The 15,202-nt window shown below is 52.0% G+C and overlaps 1 protein-coding gene across 19 annotated transcripts in view, besides 2 other annotated features; it reads right to left on the reverse strand.

Annotated features, from left to right (window-relative positions):
* SHANK2 (SH3 and multiple ankyrin repeat domains 2) overlaps positions 1–15,202 on the reverse strand; it is a 785,381-nt gene that overhangs the window by 629,625 nt on the left and 140,554 nt on the right. For all 19 annotated transcript variants that reach the window (NM_001441030.1, NM_001441032.1, NM_001441037.1 and 16 more), the window contains one exon: positions 12,463–12,571. In NM_001441030.1, coding sequence (NP_001427959.1) covers positions 12,463–12,571 — 109 coding nt within the window. The remainder of the gene's footprint in view (positions 1–12,462; positions 12,572–15,202) is intronic.
* Positions 11,437–11,938: an enhancer, noted in NCBI's record as "H3K4me1 hESC enhancer chr11:70819961-70820462 (GRCh37/hg19 assembly coordinates)". NCBI's record gives its function as "activates a minimal SCP1, AML or CMV promoter by ChIP-STARR-seq in naive H9 embryonic stem cells {active_cell/tissue: H9 hESC(naive)}" and the evidence as "EXISTENCE:reporter gene assay evidence [ECO:0000049][PMID:30033119]".
* Positions 11,939–12,438: an enhancer, noted in NCBI's record as "H3K4me1 hESC enhancer chr11:70820463-70820962 (GRCh37/hg19 assembly coordinates)". NCBI's record gives its function as "activates a minimal SCP1, AML or CMV promoter by ChIP-STARR-seq in naive H9 embryonic stem cells {active_cell/tissue: H9 hESC(naive)}" and the evidence as "EXISTENCE:reporter gene assay evidence [ECO:0000049][PMID:30033119]".

Below are 15,202 nucleotides of genomic sequence, written 5' to 3' on the forward strand. Positions count from 1 at the left end.
AGACTGGAACCTCAACAAGCATAACCTCAGAGTGGCCCCAGTCTCCCTCAACGTGAACAACGGGTGGGAGTAGAAACACCTGTAATATTTTGAGATAACCTCAGAGACACGCAGACCCTCCAACTAGAGGCTGCCCAGCAGACTGTTGGCTCCAGGGATAAGCAGGATGTGCTTCGAAAGGGTGAGAAGCGGGGGCTCCCGGAAGCGCAGCAGGAGGGCACTAGCCACGGCTGTTTGTCCTGACACTGGGAGGTGGCACAGCAATGGGGGGTGGGGTGGGGGCAGGAGGCAGGAGGAGTGTAAGTGTTTAAGACAGCTGCTGCTACCCAGCGGGCACAGGGCAGTGCAGGCTGGAGCATGTGTACGCCAGTGTATGTGTGCACACCTATGTGCATGCCTGTGTGCCTGTGTGTGCATGGCTGTGTGTATGCACACCTATGTGTGCATGCCTGTTTGTGTGCACGCCTGTGTGTCTGTGCATGCCTGTGTGTGCATGTGCCTGTGTGTGCATGTGCATGCCTGTGTGTGCATGTGTGCCTATGTGTGTGCATGCCTGTGTGTGCATGTGTGCATGCCTGTGTGTACATGCCTGTGTGTATGCATGCCTGTTGTGTATGCAGGCCTATGTGTATGCATGCCTGTATGTATGTGTACATGCCTGTGTGCATGCATGCCTGTGTGCATGTGCATGCCTGTGTGCATGCCTGTGTGTATGTGTACATGCCTGTGCGTGTGCATGCCTGTGTGTCTACATGCCTGTGTGCATGTGCATGCCTGTGTGTGCACATGCTTGTGTGTGTGCATGCCTGTGTGCATGCCTCTGTGTGCATGTGTGCACACCCGTGTGTGTGCTCCTAGGTGCATCCTAGTGTCCAAGATCAGTGGGCTGCAAAAATCAAACGACTGGGCAAGCGATTCTTCCTATGAGGGGAAGTGACTGGTGTCAACAAAACCCAGCTCTTTCCCTGAAGGGCTGGGTGGCCTCCAGCAGGTTTTTTAGAAGATGATAGTTCAGGAGGCTGGGGATGCTCAGAAGGAAACCATGATGTGAGAGAAGACCACAGAACATATCACAGGTGTAGGAATCAACCTCGCTGAAAGGGATGGGGAATGAACCGCTGACCTCAGTAGCTCCAGACATGAGTGGAGTCTGTAAGACTAAAGGCAAAAGGAACAGAATAAATAAAGCTGGGTTATAAGTCAACCAGAAAGTGAGTGCAACCACATTGATAGAAATAAGCAAGGGATTCACAAGTGAACGGGAGGAAGGGGCCGATCTTGCAATGCAGACAAACTCCAAGCAATTCGCATCACTTCTCTGTCCTCAGGGGGTGATGCGTAGCCCGCACCACCCCCCACCCCGATCCCCTTATGTGTGGGCTGTGCACAGTGGCTTCCTTCTGAGAGCATAGTGTGGGAAACAGAAAAACGGGACCATCTCTCCGTGGGGAAACCTGATGGACACGAGCTCAGCCAGGAGATGGGGGGGCAGCATCGCCCAAGATGAGCCACACCAACAGGACGGGCCCTCGGCACCAGGTGATGAGAAAGGCTCTGTGCTCTTCCTCCTCACACCCACAGCCCCTAATCGTGAAAACACCAGATGGATCCCAATAAGGGGCACCCTACAAGCACCTGACCAGTCCTCCTCTGAAACTGTCCAGGTCATCACCAACAGGGAGAGCCTGGGAAACAATCACCACCAAGAGGTGCCCAGGGAGACGAATGAGGGAATGTCATGTGGGAACCCGGGTGGGGCCCAGGGACAGGAAAGGACAAGCAGGTAAATGCTTATGAGAGAAGAAAAAGGTGTGGACTTCGGTTAATAATAATGCATCGATATCGGTTCTCTAACTGTGAGAAGCGTACCATACGACTTCCGCTCAGAAGAATACTGGAGTAAGATGCTGATAAGGGGGGAAGCTGGGTATAGGATATATGGTAACTCTGTGTACTATCTTTGCACTTATTCTGCAAATCTAGAACTGTTCTAAAATGAAAAGTTTGTTTACAAATGTCTCCTGGCTATTGTGCGGGTTAACAGATTTAATGTAAAAAATGCTGCTGCTCAGAGAGGCAGAAAATGTTTGTGAAAAGCGTATAAAGTACTTGTAGCCAAATTATACAGAGAACCCTTAAAACTCCACAAGAAAGCAAACCACCCAATTAAAAAGGGAACAAAATATTTAAATGGATACCTCACAACAGAAGATATTCAGATAGCCAACACACACGAGAAGATGCTCCACACCGTATGTCATTAGGGAACTGCAAACTAAGACAGCAATTAGAGGCTGTGTTCAGTGGCTCATGTCTGCAATTGCAGCACTTTGGGAGCCAAGGTAGGAGGATCATTTGAGCTCAGGAGTTCAAGACCTGCCTGGGTAACATGAGGCCTCACCTCTACTAAAAATTTAAAAATTTGCCAGGCATAGTGGCATACGCCTGTAGTCCCAGCTACTCAGGAGGCTGAAGCAGGAGGATCACTTGAGCCCAGGAGGTCAAGTTTGCAGTGAACCATGATCACACCACTGCACTCCAGCCTGGGAGACAGAGTAAGACCATGTCAAAAAAAAAAAAAAAAAGACACCTCAACACAATCGTCAGAATGATGAAAATCTAGAACACTGACAACACCAAATGCTGGGGAGGATGTGGAGCAACAGGAACTCTCATCATTGCCAGTAGGAGTGTAAAATGGCGCAGTCACTTTGGAAGACAGTTTGGCGAGTTGACACAAAACTAAAAACGCACTTACTCCACAATCCAGCAACCCAGCTCCTAGGTGTCTCCCTGAATGAGCTGAAAACTTACGTCCACAAGGAAATCTGAATGTTAGTGTTTACAGCAGCTTTATTCATCGTTGCCAAAAATGGCAAACAATCCAGAGGTCCTTCAGTAGGTGAGTGGATACATTATCCATTGCACATGCAGACAACAAGATGTTGTTCAACACTAAAGAGAGACAAGCTGTCAAGCCACAACACGATACGAAGGAAGCTTAAATGCATATTGCTAAATGAATGAAGCCAATCTGAAAAGGCTGCATGCTGTGTGATTCCAACTCGATGACATTCTAGAAAAGGCAAAACTATAGAGCCAGTGGTTGGCCAGGCACAGTGGTTCACACCTGTAATCCCAGCACATTGGGACGCCAAGGCGGGCAGATCATGAGGTCAGGAGATCGAGACCATCCTGGTTAACACAGTGAAACCCCGTCTCTACTAAAAATACAAAAATAACTCAGGCATGGTGGCACACGCCTGTAGTCCCAGCTACTCAGGAGGCTGAGGCAGGAGAATTGCTTGAACCCGGGAGTCAGAGGTTGCAGTGAGCTGAGATCACACCACTGCACTCCAGCCTGGGTGACACAGCAAGACTCCGTCTCAAAAAAAAAAAAAAAAAATCAGTGGTTATGAGGGGTTAGAGGGCAAGGGAGGGATGGACGGGTGGAGCACAGAGGAGGGAGGGATGGACGGGTGGAGCACAGAGGAGTTTTAGGGTAAGGAAGCTATGCTGTGTAATTCTGTAATGGTGGGTACAGGACAAGATGCATCTGTCCAAACCCATAACATGAGCAGACCCTCATGTAAACTATGGACTTCAGTTATTGCAACAAATGCCCTAAACCAGTGCATGCTGTCAATAACAGGCGAGCTGGAAGTGAAAGTGCATAGGGGAAAACTCCATGCCTTCTGCCTGGTTTTTCTGTCAACCTAAAACTGGGCTCTGTCCCCGACCCCAAGACAGGCTCCTGTGGACCCTGGCCCCTGCCTCCGTGTCACCCTTACCCTCGCCACTCCCTCTGCCGCATTTTCCTTACTGAAGGCACGGCACCTCGCTCCATCTAAGAGTCACCTATATTCCCTTTCAGAACATGGCAGTGTGTACATAGAAAAACCCTGAAAGAATGAGACACTGTATTTGAAATAATTGGACCCTTAAAAACAGGTCTCTTTTTATGAGAAACTGTACTGAACAAACCAAAGGCACTGGTAGCAAAGGGAGTTATTTACTCGAAGTCTTCCAGCTCCTTCATTGGCACTGGGTAATTTCTGCACCTCTCACCCTCTGCAGATGGAGGTTTACGAGGTTCCAGAACCATTATTCTCTTGAATTGCCTCACATTCCCGGGTGCCGTTAGTTCTGGGGAATCGCACTTGGCGATTCATTCAGGGGCCAACGTGAGACTGCGGAGCATGAACCGTCAGTCACTGCACACATCAAACAAGCCCCTTCTGCTCTTCAAGACGATGCTCTGAAGGTGCTCAGTGCACTGGGACCCAGAATGTCCTCGAGGCCTCCTAACTGAGCGGTGCGGGAGCTGGGAAGGGGCTCCCCGTGACACAGCTACAGCAGCAAGAAGGGGAAGCCGGAGTTGGGGGGCGGCCGAATGGGAGGAGCTCAGCCTGGTATGCAATGAGTACACCCCGACCCTGGAAACAGATTCAGTAACTGAATCTCATCAGTGAGGTCCAGACACATCACAGGTGCTCTGCAGAATCTGGATCCGTAAAGGAACCATCTCTTTTTGACCTCTCATTCAGATACTAAAAGAGTCGAAAGGCATTTCTAGCTTTATTAGCCAGATCTCTTTTGTGGTGCCTGAGGCTTCTCTCAAATTTGGAGACAACAGTGCAAGATAAAAGGGCCAACCTAAATTTTGTTCAAGTTGCCAGGTTCGCTTCCTGTTTGGGGCTTGGAAACACAACTGGTCTCATCTCAGAGTTTCCAACCAAAGCAGGAGAAGAGGCCTGAGACTCTGCTGGAGGAAGTCTTTATTTTTTTTTTTTACACTACTTTTATCATTGTTACTTAATAAAATTTACATTTAGAACAGGTACCAGATGGTCGCCTGCAATCACACAGGCTGTTTTGTTTTCATTGACAGGTCGTTCCACTGGGATTTAATTATCTCAGGCTAGAGGGCTGCTTCCCTCCGCTCCGGCCCCATGTCCAGCCCCAAAACAGGGACGCGGGGCCCAGGTCTGCAGGGCCCGGGACTGAGCATGGCGGCATTTCCTGAGCTTAGCAAAAAGGCTGCTTTCAACTCTAAGCACAGACTCTGCTGTCCCCTGGGTGGCTTTGAGAAGTCACCAAACTCACTGTGGAGAGGCTAAAATATGGGATGGGAACATGCCCAGGCTGCTGCCGACAACCAGGTGGAAAGTGGGAATGTGAACAGCTTGTCCCCGACCTGGGCCTGCCTGGGTCATCCACGTCCAGCCAGGCCGGCTCATGCCAAGAGACCCCTGTTCGTCCCACTGCCTTTTCCCCCAGGAGTTGAGAGCAGGGACCCCCCAGGGCAAGTGGAGCCCAGGCCCTGCCTCTGCCCTCCCTGGTGACTCAGTGACTGGCCCAGACTGGGCTGTGGTAACAAGATCCCAGAGGCTAGGTGGCTTAAAAGTGACAGACATGCATTGCTCATGGTTTTGGAGGCCAGAAGTCCAAGATCAAGGTGCTGGCAGATTTGGCGTGTGTCTACCTGGTTCACATAGGGCACCTTCTTGCTGTGACCTCACCTCACAAAGTGGAAGGAGCGAGGGAGCTCTCTCTGCCTCTTTTGTAAGGGCACTAATCCCATTCACAAGGGCTCTGCCCCCAGGAGCCCATCACCTGCTGAAGGCCCCATCCTCCTAATACCATCACCTAGGGGGTTAGGGTTCAACAGTATAGAGGATGCAGACATCAGCCCTAGCGGCCACCCAGTTGGGCTCTCAGAGCTTCAGATTCCTCCCAGGACAGCGGTGCCTGCAGGGGACCCCCTTGATTACAGAGCTGAGGCCTGGCAAGGCCCTGTGTGCTGCTGGAGCACAGCAGGTCACCAATAGACTGCAGCTATCACTCTTTAAGTGCCCTTGTTACTGGTAGGGTGGGTAACAGTGCCAGTCTCCCTGGGACCAACAGGCTTCCCAGGATATGAGGCATTCAGTGCTAAAACCAGGGCAGTCCCGGGAAAACCGGATACACTGGTCACCCTGCCTGTTTCCTGGAGGCAGCCCGCCAAAGCCAACTCTGTGTTTCTCCCTCTGCATCCAAAACCAGGAGAAAACAACATTGACTGAGCTGCCGTAGTTGATGCTGATGACAGGAACATTCTGGAACTCTATTAAAGGTGACGCATACCCCATACGCTTAACCACTGATATGGTTTGGATGGGTGTCCTGCCCAAATCTCACGTGGAGATGTAATCTCCGGGGTTGGAGGTGGGGCCTGGTGGGAGGTGACTGGATCATGGGGGCAGATTTGTCATGAATGGTTTAGCACCATCCCCTTCCTTGGTGCTGTCCTGACAATTGTGAGTGAATTCTTGCAAGATCTGATTGTTTAAAGGTGTGTGGCACCTCTCTCTCTCTCCCTCCCTCCCTCCCCCCCTCCCCTTCTCCCTCTCCCCCCCTCTTTCTCTCTCTCTCTCCTGCTTTCACCACGGGATGCACCTGCTCCTCTCTCTCTCTCTCTCTCCCTTGCTTTTGCCATGCAATGCACCTGCTCTCCCTTTGCCTTCCGCCATGCGTAAAAGCTCCCTGAGGCCTCCCCAGAAGCAGATGCCACCAGCTTCCTGTACAGCCTGCAGAACCTAGAGCCAATTAAACCTCTTTTCTTTATAAACTACCCAGCCTCAGGTATGTCTTTACAGCAATGTGAAAATGGCCTAATAGCACCACAACGCTCACCTAACGCTCACATTTTCCCGGCACCACCGTAGGTGTTATCATTCAATTTAGGAGACAAGAGGATGGAAGCTGAGAGAGGTTCATTAACCTGGTCTTCACACAGCCAGCTGCAGAGAAGTAGGGGTTAATGTCTCCTCTCTGGGGGCTCTCCATGGACTGGCACTGAGCTGGGCATTGGAAGGGTCGCCTCTGCAGTCCCAACACAGGGCCCCCCCCATCCTGCATCTCTGAAGCCCAGTGTCTCCAACAGTGATGTCATCCGTGTGGCCAGGTAGTGTCTGCATTTCAGTCAGGAGGATGCGTATCCGTCCCTTATGCTCTGCCTTGACAGAAGCAAAGTGAAGGTGGTGTCTTCCCTGGCAGCACTGGGCTCTGGCCTCTCGTTGGAACTTGCGTTTAGCTTGTCCCCACTGATACTTGCTCCATGTGTGCCTGAGGGTTGCTATAAGCCATTGTGCTGGAATTACCCGCAGCTTCCTTTGTTTCTGAGAGCACCCACCCTGGTTCACTTTTCTCTTTTCCCCCGTCACCCTGGGTCCTCACTTTTCTCTTTTCCCCCATCACCCTGGGTCCCCACTTCCCTGCCCCTCTAACAGCACTGCTGGTTTCTCTCCTGATTTGGAAAAAACAAATGAGAATTCTTGAGACACTGGTGGCAGGCGCAGAAGCTGGGAAGCAGGGTGGTGTGAGACCAGGGCCATCTGCGCTGTCTGCAGCCGACCTGTGGGTCTGCACTTGGCCTTCGGTTTCAGAACTTTCTGCCTTAGTTACCCCTTTTCCCTTTTTATTTGCCATAAGTAATGTTTTTGGCCTTACAAAAAAATGCCACTGTGTATGATCGCTGTTAGTTTGATCTGTACAAAAACCCACACACGGGTGTTTATGGCAGCTTGACCCACAATTGCCAAAAGCTGGAAGCAGCCCAGATGTCCTTTAGGAGGCAAGTGGATAAGCAAACTGGGGTACATTGGAAAATGGAACATTATCCAGCACCAAAAGGAAACGCGCTTCCAAGCTGTGAAAGGGCCTGGAGGCACCTTCCGCACGTGCTGCCATGTGAAAGAAGCCGATCTGAAACCCACTGTGTGATTTTAAGATTCCAGCTCTAGAACATTCTGGAAAAGGCCAAACTACAGAGACAATGAAAAGGTCAGCAAGGTTGAGTGCGGTGGCTCACACCTGTAATCCCAGCACTTTGGGAGGCTGAGGTGGGTGGATCACTTGAGGTCAGGAGTTTGAGCCCAGCCTAGCCAACATGGTGAAACCCCATCTCTACTAAAAATAAAAAAATTAGTTGGGCGTGGTGGTGCACGTCTATAATCCCAGCTACCAGGAGGCTGAGGCAGGAGAATCACTTGAACTCGGGAGGCGGAGGTTGCAGTGAGCCAAGATCACGCCACTGCACTCCAGCCTGGGTGACAGAGAGAGACTCAGTCTAAAAAAAAAAAAAAAAAAAAAAAAGAAAGGGTCAGCAGCTGCCAGGGGCTCAGGGATGAAGAGGGGCACAGAGGAGCTCTCGGGCAGTGAAGCTGATCTTTATGATACTGTGACGGTGGATACAGGACATCTGGCAAAACTGACAACGTACAACACCAAGAGTGAACTCTCATGTAAGCTCCGGACTGGAGGATCACTGTTGGGTACAACTCCAGGCGTAAACCCTCATGTAAGCTCCGGACTTGAGGATCACTACTGGGTACAGCACCAAGCATAAACCCTCATGTAAGCTCTGGACTTGAGGATCACTGTTGGGTACAGCACCAAGCGTAAACCCTCATGTAAGCTCTGTACTTGAGGATCACTACTGGGTTACGACTCCAAGCGTGAACCTTCATGTAAGCTTGGACTTGAGGATCACAACTGGTTCACTGATTGTAACAGATGTCCTATACTAAAGCAAGATATTACTAACAGAGGAAACTGGGGGAGCAGTCAATATGGGAACTCACAGTACTTCTATTCAATTTTCTGTCAGCCTAAAACTGCTCTAAAAAATCAGCTCTGCTCATTTCACAAAAGGGAGGCAGGGGAAGAGGAAGTTCTGCTTTATAGAGAAATATCAGCTACTACAAGAAGCAAAGCTGGTTCATAAAATTGCCATTTGGCAACAACCAGGAGAGAACTGATTCCATAATTCTGCCTTAAATTTTAAAATTGAAAATAAGAGGCTGGGCTCAGTGGCTCACGCCTGTAATCCAAACACTTCAGGAGGCTGAGGTGAGAGGACTGCTTGAGCCCAGGAGTTTAAGACCAGCCTGGGTCACATAGGGAGACCCCCATCTCTACAAAAAAACACAAAAATTAGCCCAGAGGCTTGTCATCATGAGAATATTTCAGAACATTCATAAGGTAACTCTGTGCTACTGTCTCCATGGATCAGGCTCCCAAGCCATTTCTACTCAGCTCTGGGAAACATGGTCAGGTCTTTCTCCTTTAATTATGCTGCTTCACAACGGCTCACAACAACTATGGACCTTCTGCTTTGGTACCGGCCTAATCCAGAATTCCAGCGGCAGAATTCCAAGTATGGTGGCACGTGCCTGTAGTCCCAGCTATTCAAGAGGCTGAGGTGGGAGGATCAGCTGAGTTCAGGAGGTCAAGGCTGCAGTGAGCTGTGATCCTGCCAGCCTGGGTGACACAGTGAGACCCTGTCTCAAGAAGAAGGAAGGGGAGGGAAGGGGAGGGGAGAGGCCAGGCGTGGTGGCACACACCTGTAATCCCAACACTTCGGAAGGCCGAGGCCGGTGATCACTTGAACTCAGGAGTTTGAGACCTGCCTGGGCAACATGGCAAAACCCCGTCTCTACAAAGAATACCTTGGTGTGGTGCCACATGCCTGTAGTCCCAGTTACTTGGAGGGCTGAGGTGGGAGGATCACCTGAACCTGGGAGGATGAGGTTGCAGTGAGCTGAGATTGTGCCACTACAATCTAGCCTGGGTAACAGGGGGAGACCCTGTCTCAAAAAAAAAGAAAGGGGAGTGGAGGGGTAATGATTTCTGTCAAGGCCAAAACCAAAACACAATAAACCCCCAACCTCTATGCGTGGTCACCATCTCCCTGGGTGACGCAGGGAAGTGTCCCGTAAGGAAGCACGCAGGCATTCTTCCCTGCACGCATTCTGTCCTTGAGCACCAAACCCACTGGGCCCTGTCCCAGACCCTGGCCCCGTGGGTCTCTGCCTTTGCTGGAGACCCTAGAATGCCTGTCCTTAACTATGTGCTCTTTCCCAGGAGCCACTTATCGGGGACCTGATGACACCAGGGGTTCCTCTGTCTTCTCTGGGTTTGGTCTTTGTGATCAGTAAACCAGCCCAGAGGCTTGTCATCGTGGGAATATTTCAGAACGTTCGGAAGGTAACTGCGTGGTACCATCTCCACAGATCAGGTTCCCGAGCCTTTTCTACTCAGTTCCGGGGAAAGTGGTCAGGTCTTTCTCCTTTAATTATGCTGCTCCACAACGGCTCACAACAACTATGAACTTTTTGCTCTGGCACCAGCCTAATCCAGGATTTGAGTGGCAGCAGTTTTAACTCCAGGCAGGACCCAGAGAAATCGCTGCTTACCTGTTTCAGAGTCTGCACTGATGTGTTTTTAGCAGTGAATTGAGAGTCTATTCTGGAATAACAGTCATCTCAGAACCTTAAAGTCGAGACATTAACAGTCTGGTGGAGGAAGCCAGGGGGAGGCTTGGCTCAGGACAGGGGCCAATTACAGGGGGCACATCAGGAAGAGAGGTGCAGAGCAGCTCAGAGGGGACATCCAGCCTCCTTCTACTGCTGGCCAGGCCAAGGCGAGACAGAGAGCCACGCTGCCCAGTCCCCCGCAGCAGCATCAGAAATAGCCCTCGACGAGGCCAAGATGAAGACATAAGTGGCTCTGCCAGGGTGGTGAGAGCCACGGCCAAAGGCTGCCTCCAGGGAGAATCCGGGTCAGCAGCTCAGAATGAAGGCTGCCCCTGGATGTGCCCCAAGGCTCAAGGTCATGCTCAGGAGCACCTGGGTCCATTTACCTTCACAGCCTCACATGGAAAGGGCTCATGCCCTCACAGAGCCAGGAGCTGGCACAGGGGCCATCACTGAAGAGAAGCTGCCACATCAGCGCAGCACGAGACGCATCCACGTCAGGGAAAGATGGTCGGCCAGGGCCCTCCCAAGCCTCCTACAGACGTACACGCCCTCCATCGCACCACCATGCCTGAGCTCAGGCCTCTCTGCTTCCCAGCTCAGCTCCTCTCCTCCTCCCACTGCCTGCCCCACAGCTGAGGGCCACTGCAGCTGCCCACCTGCCCTCCAGATGCCCTACTACCCACCCCTGCCCACCACATGCCCTTGTCCCAATCACTCCCTTTCCCCTCTCCCCTTCTCCAGATGTCCCTACCAACACAAGCCCAACCCAGCCTCCTGCTCCAGGCCACCGGCTGAGACTGCCCAGACCTCCAGCGGAAGCCCAGCCTTGTCCACGTCACTGCCCTGCAAGCAGACCCCCAGGCTTCCCTGCCTCATGGAGGATCGGCGCAGGGCCTGGGGCTGCTCAGCTGTAGCCAGGCACTCACCTTCCTTCTTTCCCCCTATCCCCGGGGGCACTCTGTCCCCTCTGAGCCTCGCTCATGCAGTCCTGCCTCCCAACGTCACAGGCATCAAAGCTACCAGCAGCCACAAGCCCGTGCCGGCTTCTCCTGCTGCTCACAGCGAAGCCTAAGGGACACAGACAATTGCAAAAAGGCAAGGACAGTCCCCCGGCAGTGCTCAGACAGAGCTGTGCAGGCTGAATCCACACCCAGCGGGCCCCCCCCCAGCGTTCAGAGGTCGAGGGGGCTCCCACAAATGATGAGAAAGTGGCATTCTTTGGTTGACAAACACATTTGTTGTGTATTTTATATTTTTGAGGTGTGACACCAGTATGTGATGATGGCACTATACCATGCAGGGGCCAGAAGCAGGGCTGGCACACTCAAGACAAGAGGGGAGGGAGTCCAGGAGGAGTATTCCCAGCCCAGGACAGCCCACCTGAGGGGGCATACTCTGCTTTGCATGGAGACCCTCACCTCCACCCCTCTTGGTTCTCCAGTAGGACCTAACCTCTGCCTGCCAACTCCAGCTGGTGCCCTGCTGGCAAGAGACTGTCACCTGGGGTGACAGTGCCCACACCCAGGGACAGTGGGTGATGTCTGGAGACACTGTTGGTTGTCACAACTAGGGGTTGCTATTGATGCTGAGTGGAGGCGGGTACTGCCACTGAACCCTGTGATACATAGGATGGCCGCGCTGCAAAGACTCACACACTCGTGGAACCACCAAGGGCCTGGGCCATCTTTCCCGACCGATGCCCAGAGGCCCGCACTCATGAGGAATGTGGTTTCCAGCAGGGGAATAAGATGCATGGGTGCAGATGCCCATCTGCTGGGCTGCCCGTGCCCAGCGGGAGGCAGAAACACACATCCTCCACCTTTACAAACATACGTGTCTGTAAAGATCTGTGTGCCCAAGGCTGGCACAACACATGCGTGTCATCTGCTCATTCATTCACTCATTCACCTCCTCAACAATTCTGCACTGAACACCTGCCGTGCTCCAGGCCCCACGCAAGATGCTGGGGATGCCCCATGGACAAGGCGGGCTCGGCCCCTTCTGACTGAGAAGACAGAGGAGAGTGAGAATGCACCTTTAAACACCAAACAAAACCAAGTAAAAGGTAACTGCAGCGTTATTCACAGGTAGCCTGAGCAGTGGGCTGGCCTTCTCTACGCTTCCGTAAAGCCTGGTAAGGTCCCCTCTAGCAAGTGCTCACCTCCGGTCTCCGGGTCGTGGAAATTGGGATCCAGGCCTCGGTCCAGCATCTTGGTGATCTTCTCCACCAAGCGATGCTGAATGTGATCCATGCATTTCTTCAGATTGGTCTAGAAGGAAAAACAATACAATTGAAACATCTTTATAAGAAATGTCCCAACCTGAGCAACAAAGTGAGACCCCGTCTCTACAAAAAATAGAAAAATTAGCCAGACATGGCTGCACACGGTGGCTCACGCCTGTAATCCCAGCACTTTGTGAGGCCGAGGCGGGCAGATCACGAGGTCAGGAGATCGAGACCATCCTGGCTAACACGGTGAAACCCTGTCTCTACTAAAAATACAAAAAATTAGTCAGGCGTGGTGGCGGGCACCTGTAGTCCCAGCTACTCGGGAGGTTGAGGCAGGAGAATGGCATGAACCTGGGAGGCGGAGCTTGCAGTGAGCCGAGATCGCGCCACTGCACTCCAGCCTGGGCAACAAAGCGAGACTCCATCTCAAACAAACAAACAAACAAAAAATTAGCTAGACGTGGTGGCACATGTGATTCCAGCTACTTGGGAGGCTGAGGCAGGAGGATCGCCTGAGCCGAGGCTGCAGTGAGCTGTGTTCATGCCTCTGCACTCCAGCCTGGGCAACAGAGAAAGACCTGTCTCAAAAAAGAAAAACAAATGTCTTTCCAGGCTCTGGGAAAGTTCCTGACTGGTGCACTCGGGAGACCCACCCTCGCCAGGGTGCACCACAAGCCCTGAGGCTCCTGGAGCTGAGGCTTTTGGAACCACAGGGTGAGCACAGTGTCTGGCACGTGACAAGTACAATCGGCCTATCCTGGATGAATGTTTAAAATCCCCTCACCGTTCGCCATCCTAGTGCTACGGACTTAACGTGTGTGTCCCCGCAAAATTCATAGGTTGAATAATCTCCAATGTAATAGTATGGAGAGGTGAGGCCTTTGGGAGGTGACGAAGTCAGGAGGATGAAGCCCTCGTGAATGGGATTAGTGTCCCTGCAAAAGAGGTCCCAGAGAGCTCCCTCGCCCCTTCCTCCACGTGAAGACACAGCAAGACAATGGCCATCCAAACCAGGAACTGGGCCTTGGCCAGATGCTGAACCTGCCGATGCCACGATCTCAGACTTGCAGCCTCCAAAATGGTGAGAGTCACACTTTTGTTGTTTATAAGTTACCCAAGGTATTTTGTAAAAGCAGCGTAAATGGCCTCAGACACTTGCTGAGAGCTATGAATGCTCCTTTGCTTTCGTAAGAGACAGCTGGGCCGCTGGAGCACTTTTCCAATCTCCAGTTTCCAGGACCCACCTCCTGCCTCCATCCCCAGGGAGTGAGGCCCGCAGATTGGTACTTAACCCACTTTGTGGTGAACCCCATGGCCACACAGGCAGAAATAGCGATGCCTGGTCCCCGAGTGGCTCAAGGTGAAGTGCGGGACTCATTTCCTGTGAGGTCATGATGGTCCGCAGATCAACCTGATGGGGTGGGAACTTTCCCAGCCTCTGCCAGCCTCGCTGTAAGAAAAGTCATGATTCTCTGCCCATCCAGAGCCAGTCTGGGCTGTCTGAGCAGGACTGTGGGACTTGGCACCCTTCCGCCTGCTGCGTCTAACACTCCTCACCAGCCTAATTCTTTGCCCCTACTCCGTACCTCTCTCAAAACACACAGAAGGGGGACAAATGCGGCTTCTGACACAGCAGGTTCCTGGGCCCTTCAACCTCCTGGCACGTGCTAGATTTCCACCTGCCCATTTTCTGTATGTTTCGGAACTAGAACTGATCAAATGCCCTCAAACACATGACTTACACATGGTGTCACTGAAAACCTGCATTGCTATTTACAAATCAGCATTTTTAAAATTCACAAATACGTTTTTATCTGCACATCAGAGGGTGATAAAAAACAAAAGCCAAAACCCAGAAGCACCCAGATCTTGCCGTCTGAATACCGCTTTCCAGGCAAATTCCAGGGCAGAGGCAGGGGAAGTATCGGAAGAGCCCAGAGCATCTTGTGCCATAAAGTGGCTGGTGTGTCAAGGATGGTGGGGATGCACCACATGGCAGAACACCACAGGAAGGGCAACTGCCGCCCACATCTGGACAACTTGAGCACAAAAATCAATAATGATAATGACAGATTAGAACTCAGTGAGCACAGTAAGAATCCTGCCGGGCACAGTGGCTCACGCCTGTAATCCCAGCACTTTGGGAGGCCGAGGCGGATGGATCACCTAAAGTCAGGAGTTTGAGACCAGCCTGGCCAACGTGGCAAAACCCCATCTCTACTAAAAATACAAAATTAGCCAGGCATGGTGGTGCATGCCTGTAATCCCAGCTACTCAGGAGGCTGACGCAGAAGGATCGCTTGAACCCGAGAGGCGGAGGTTGCAGTGAGCCAAGATTATGCCATTGCACTGCAGCCTGAGCAACACAGCAAAACTCTGTCTCAAACAAACAAAAAAGAATCCTTGCATGCATCTGATATAAGGAGGAGGGGCAGCAAAACAAAAACCGAGAGGATCCTGCTGGCTGAGAAAGCCATTGGTGAGCTCGCAGCTGCAGGGGAGCTCACCTGGAGAGCATCAGGGCCCTCAAAGGGAAGCGCTTCAGGCAGCTGCCCGGACTCTCCACCCCATGCTCTGCAGGGAGTGCAATTGGGCTCTCCTTAGGAACAGCACCAGGGGCCAGGGGCCAGGACAAAAGCCTCCTGGGTATTACAGATTCCTCCTCCTGTTG

The sequence above is a fragment of the Homo sapiens genome, chromosome 11, assembly GCF_000001405.40.
Source record: "Homo sapiens chromosome 11, GRCh38.p14 Primary Assembly".
Taxonomy (NCBI): Eukaryota; Metazoa; Chordata; class Mammalia; order Primates; family Hominidae; genus Homo; species Homo sapiens.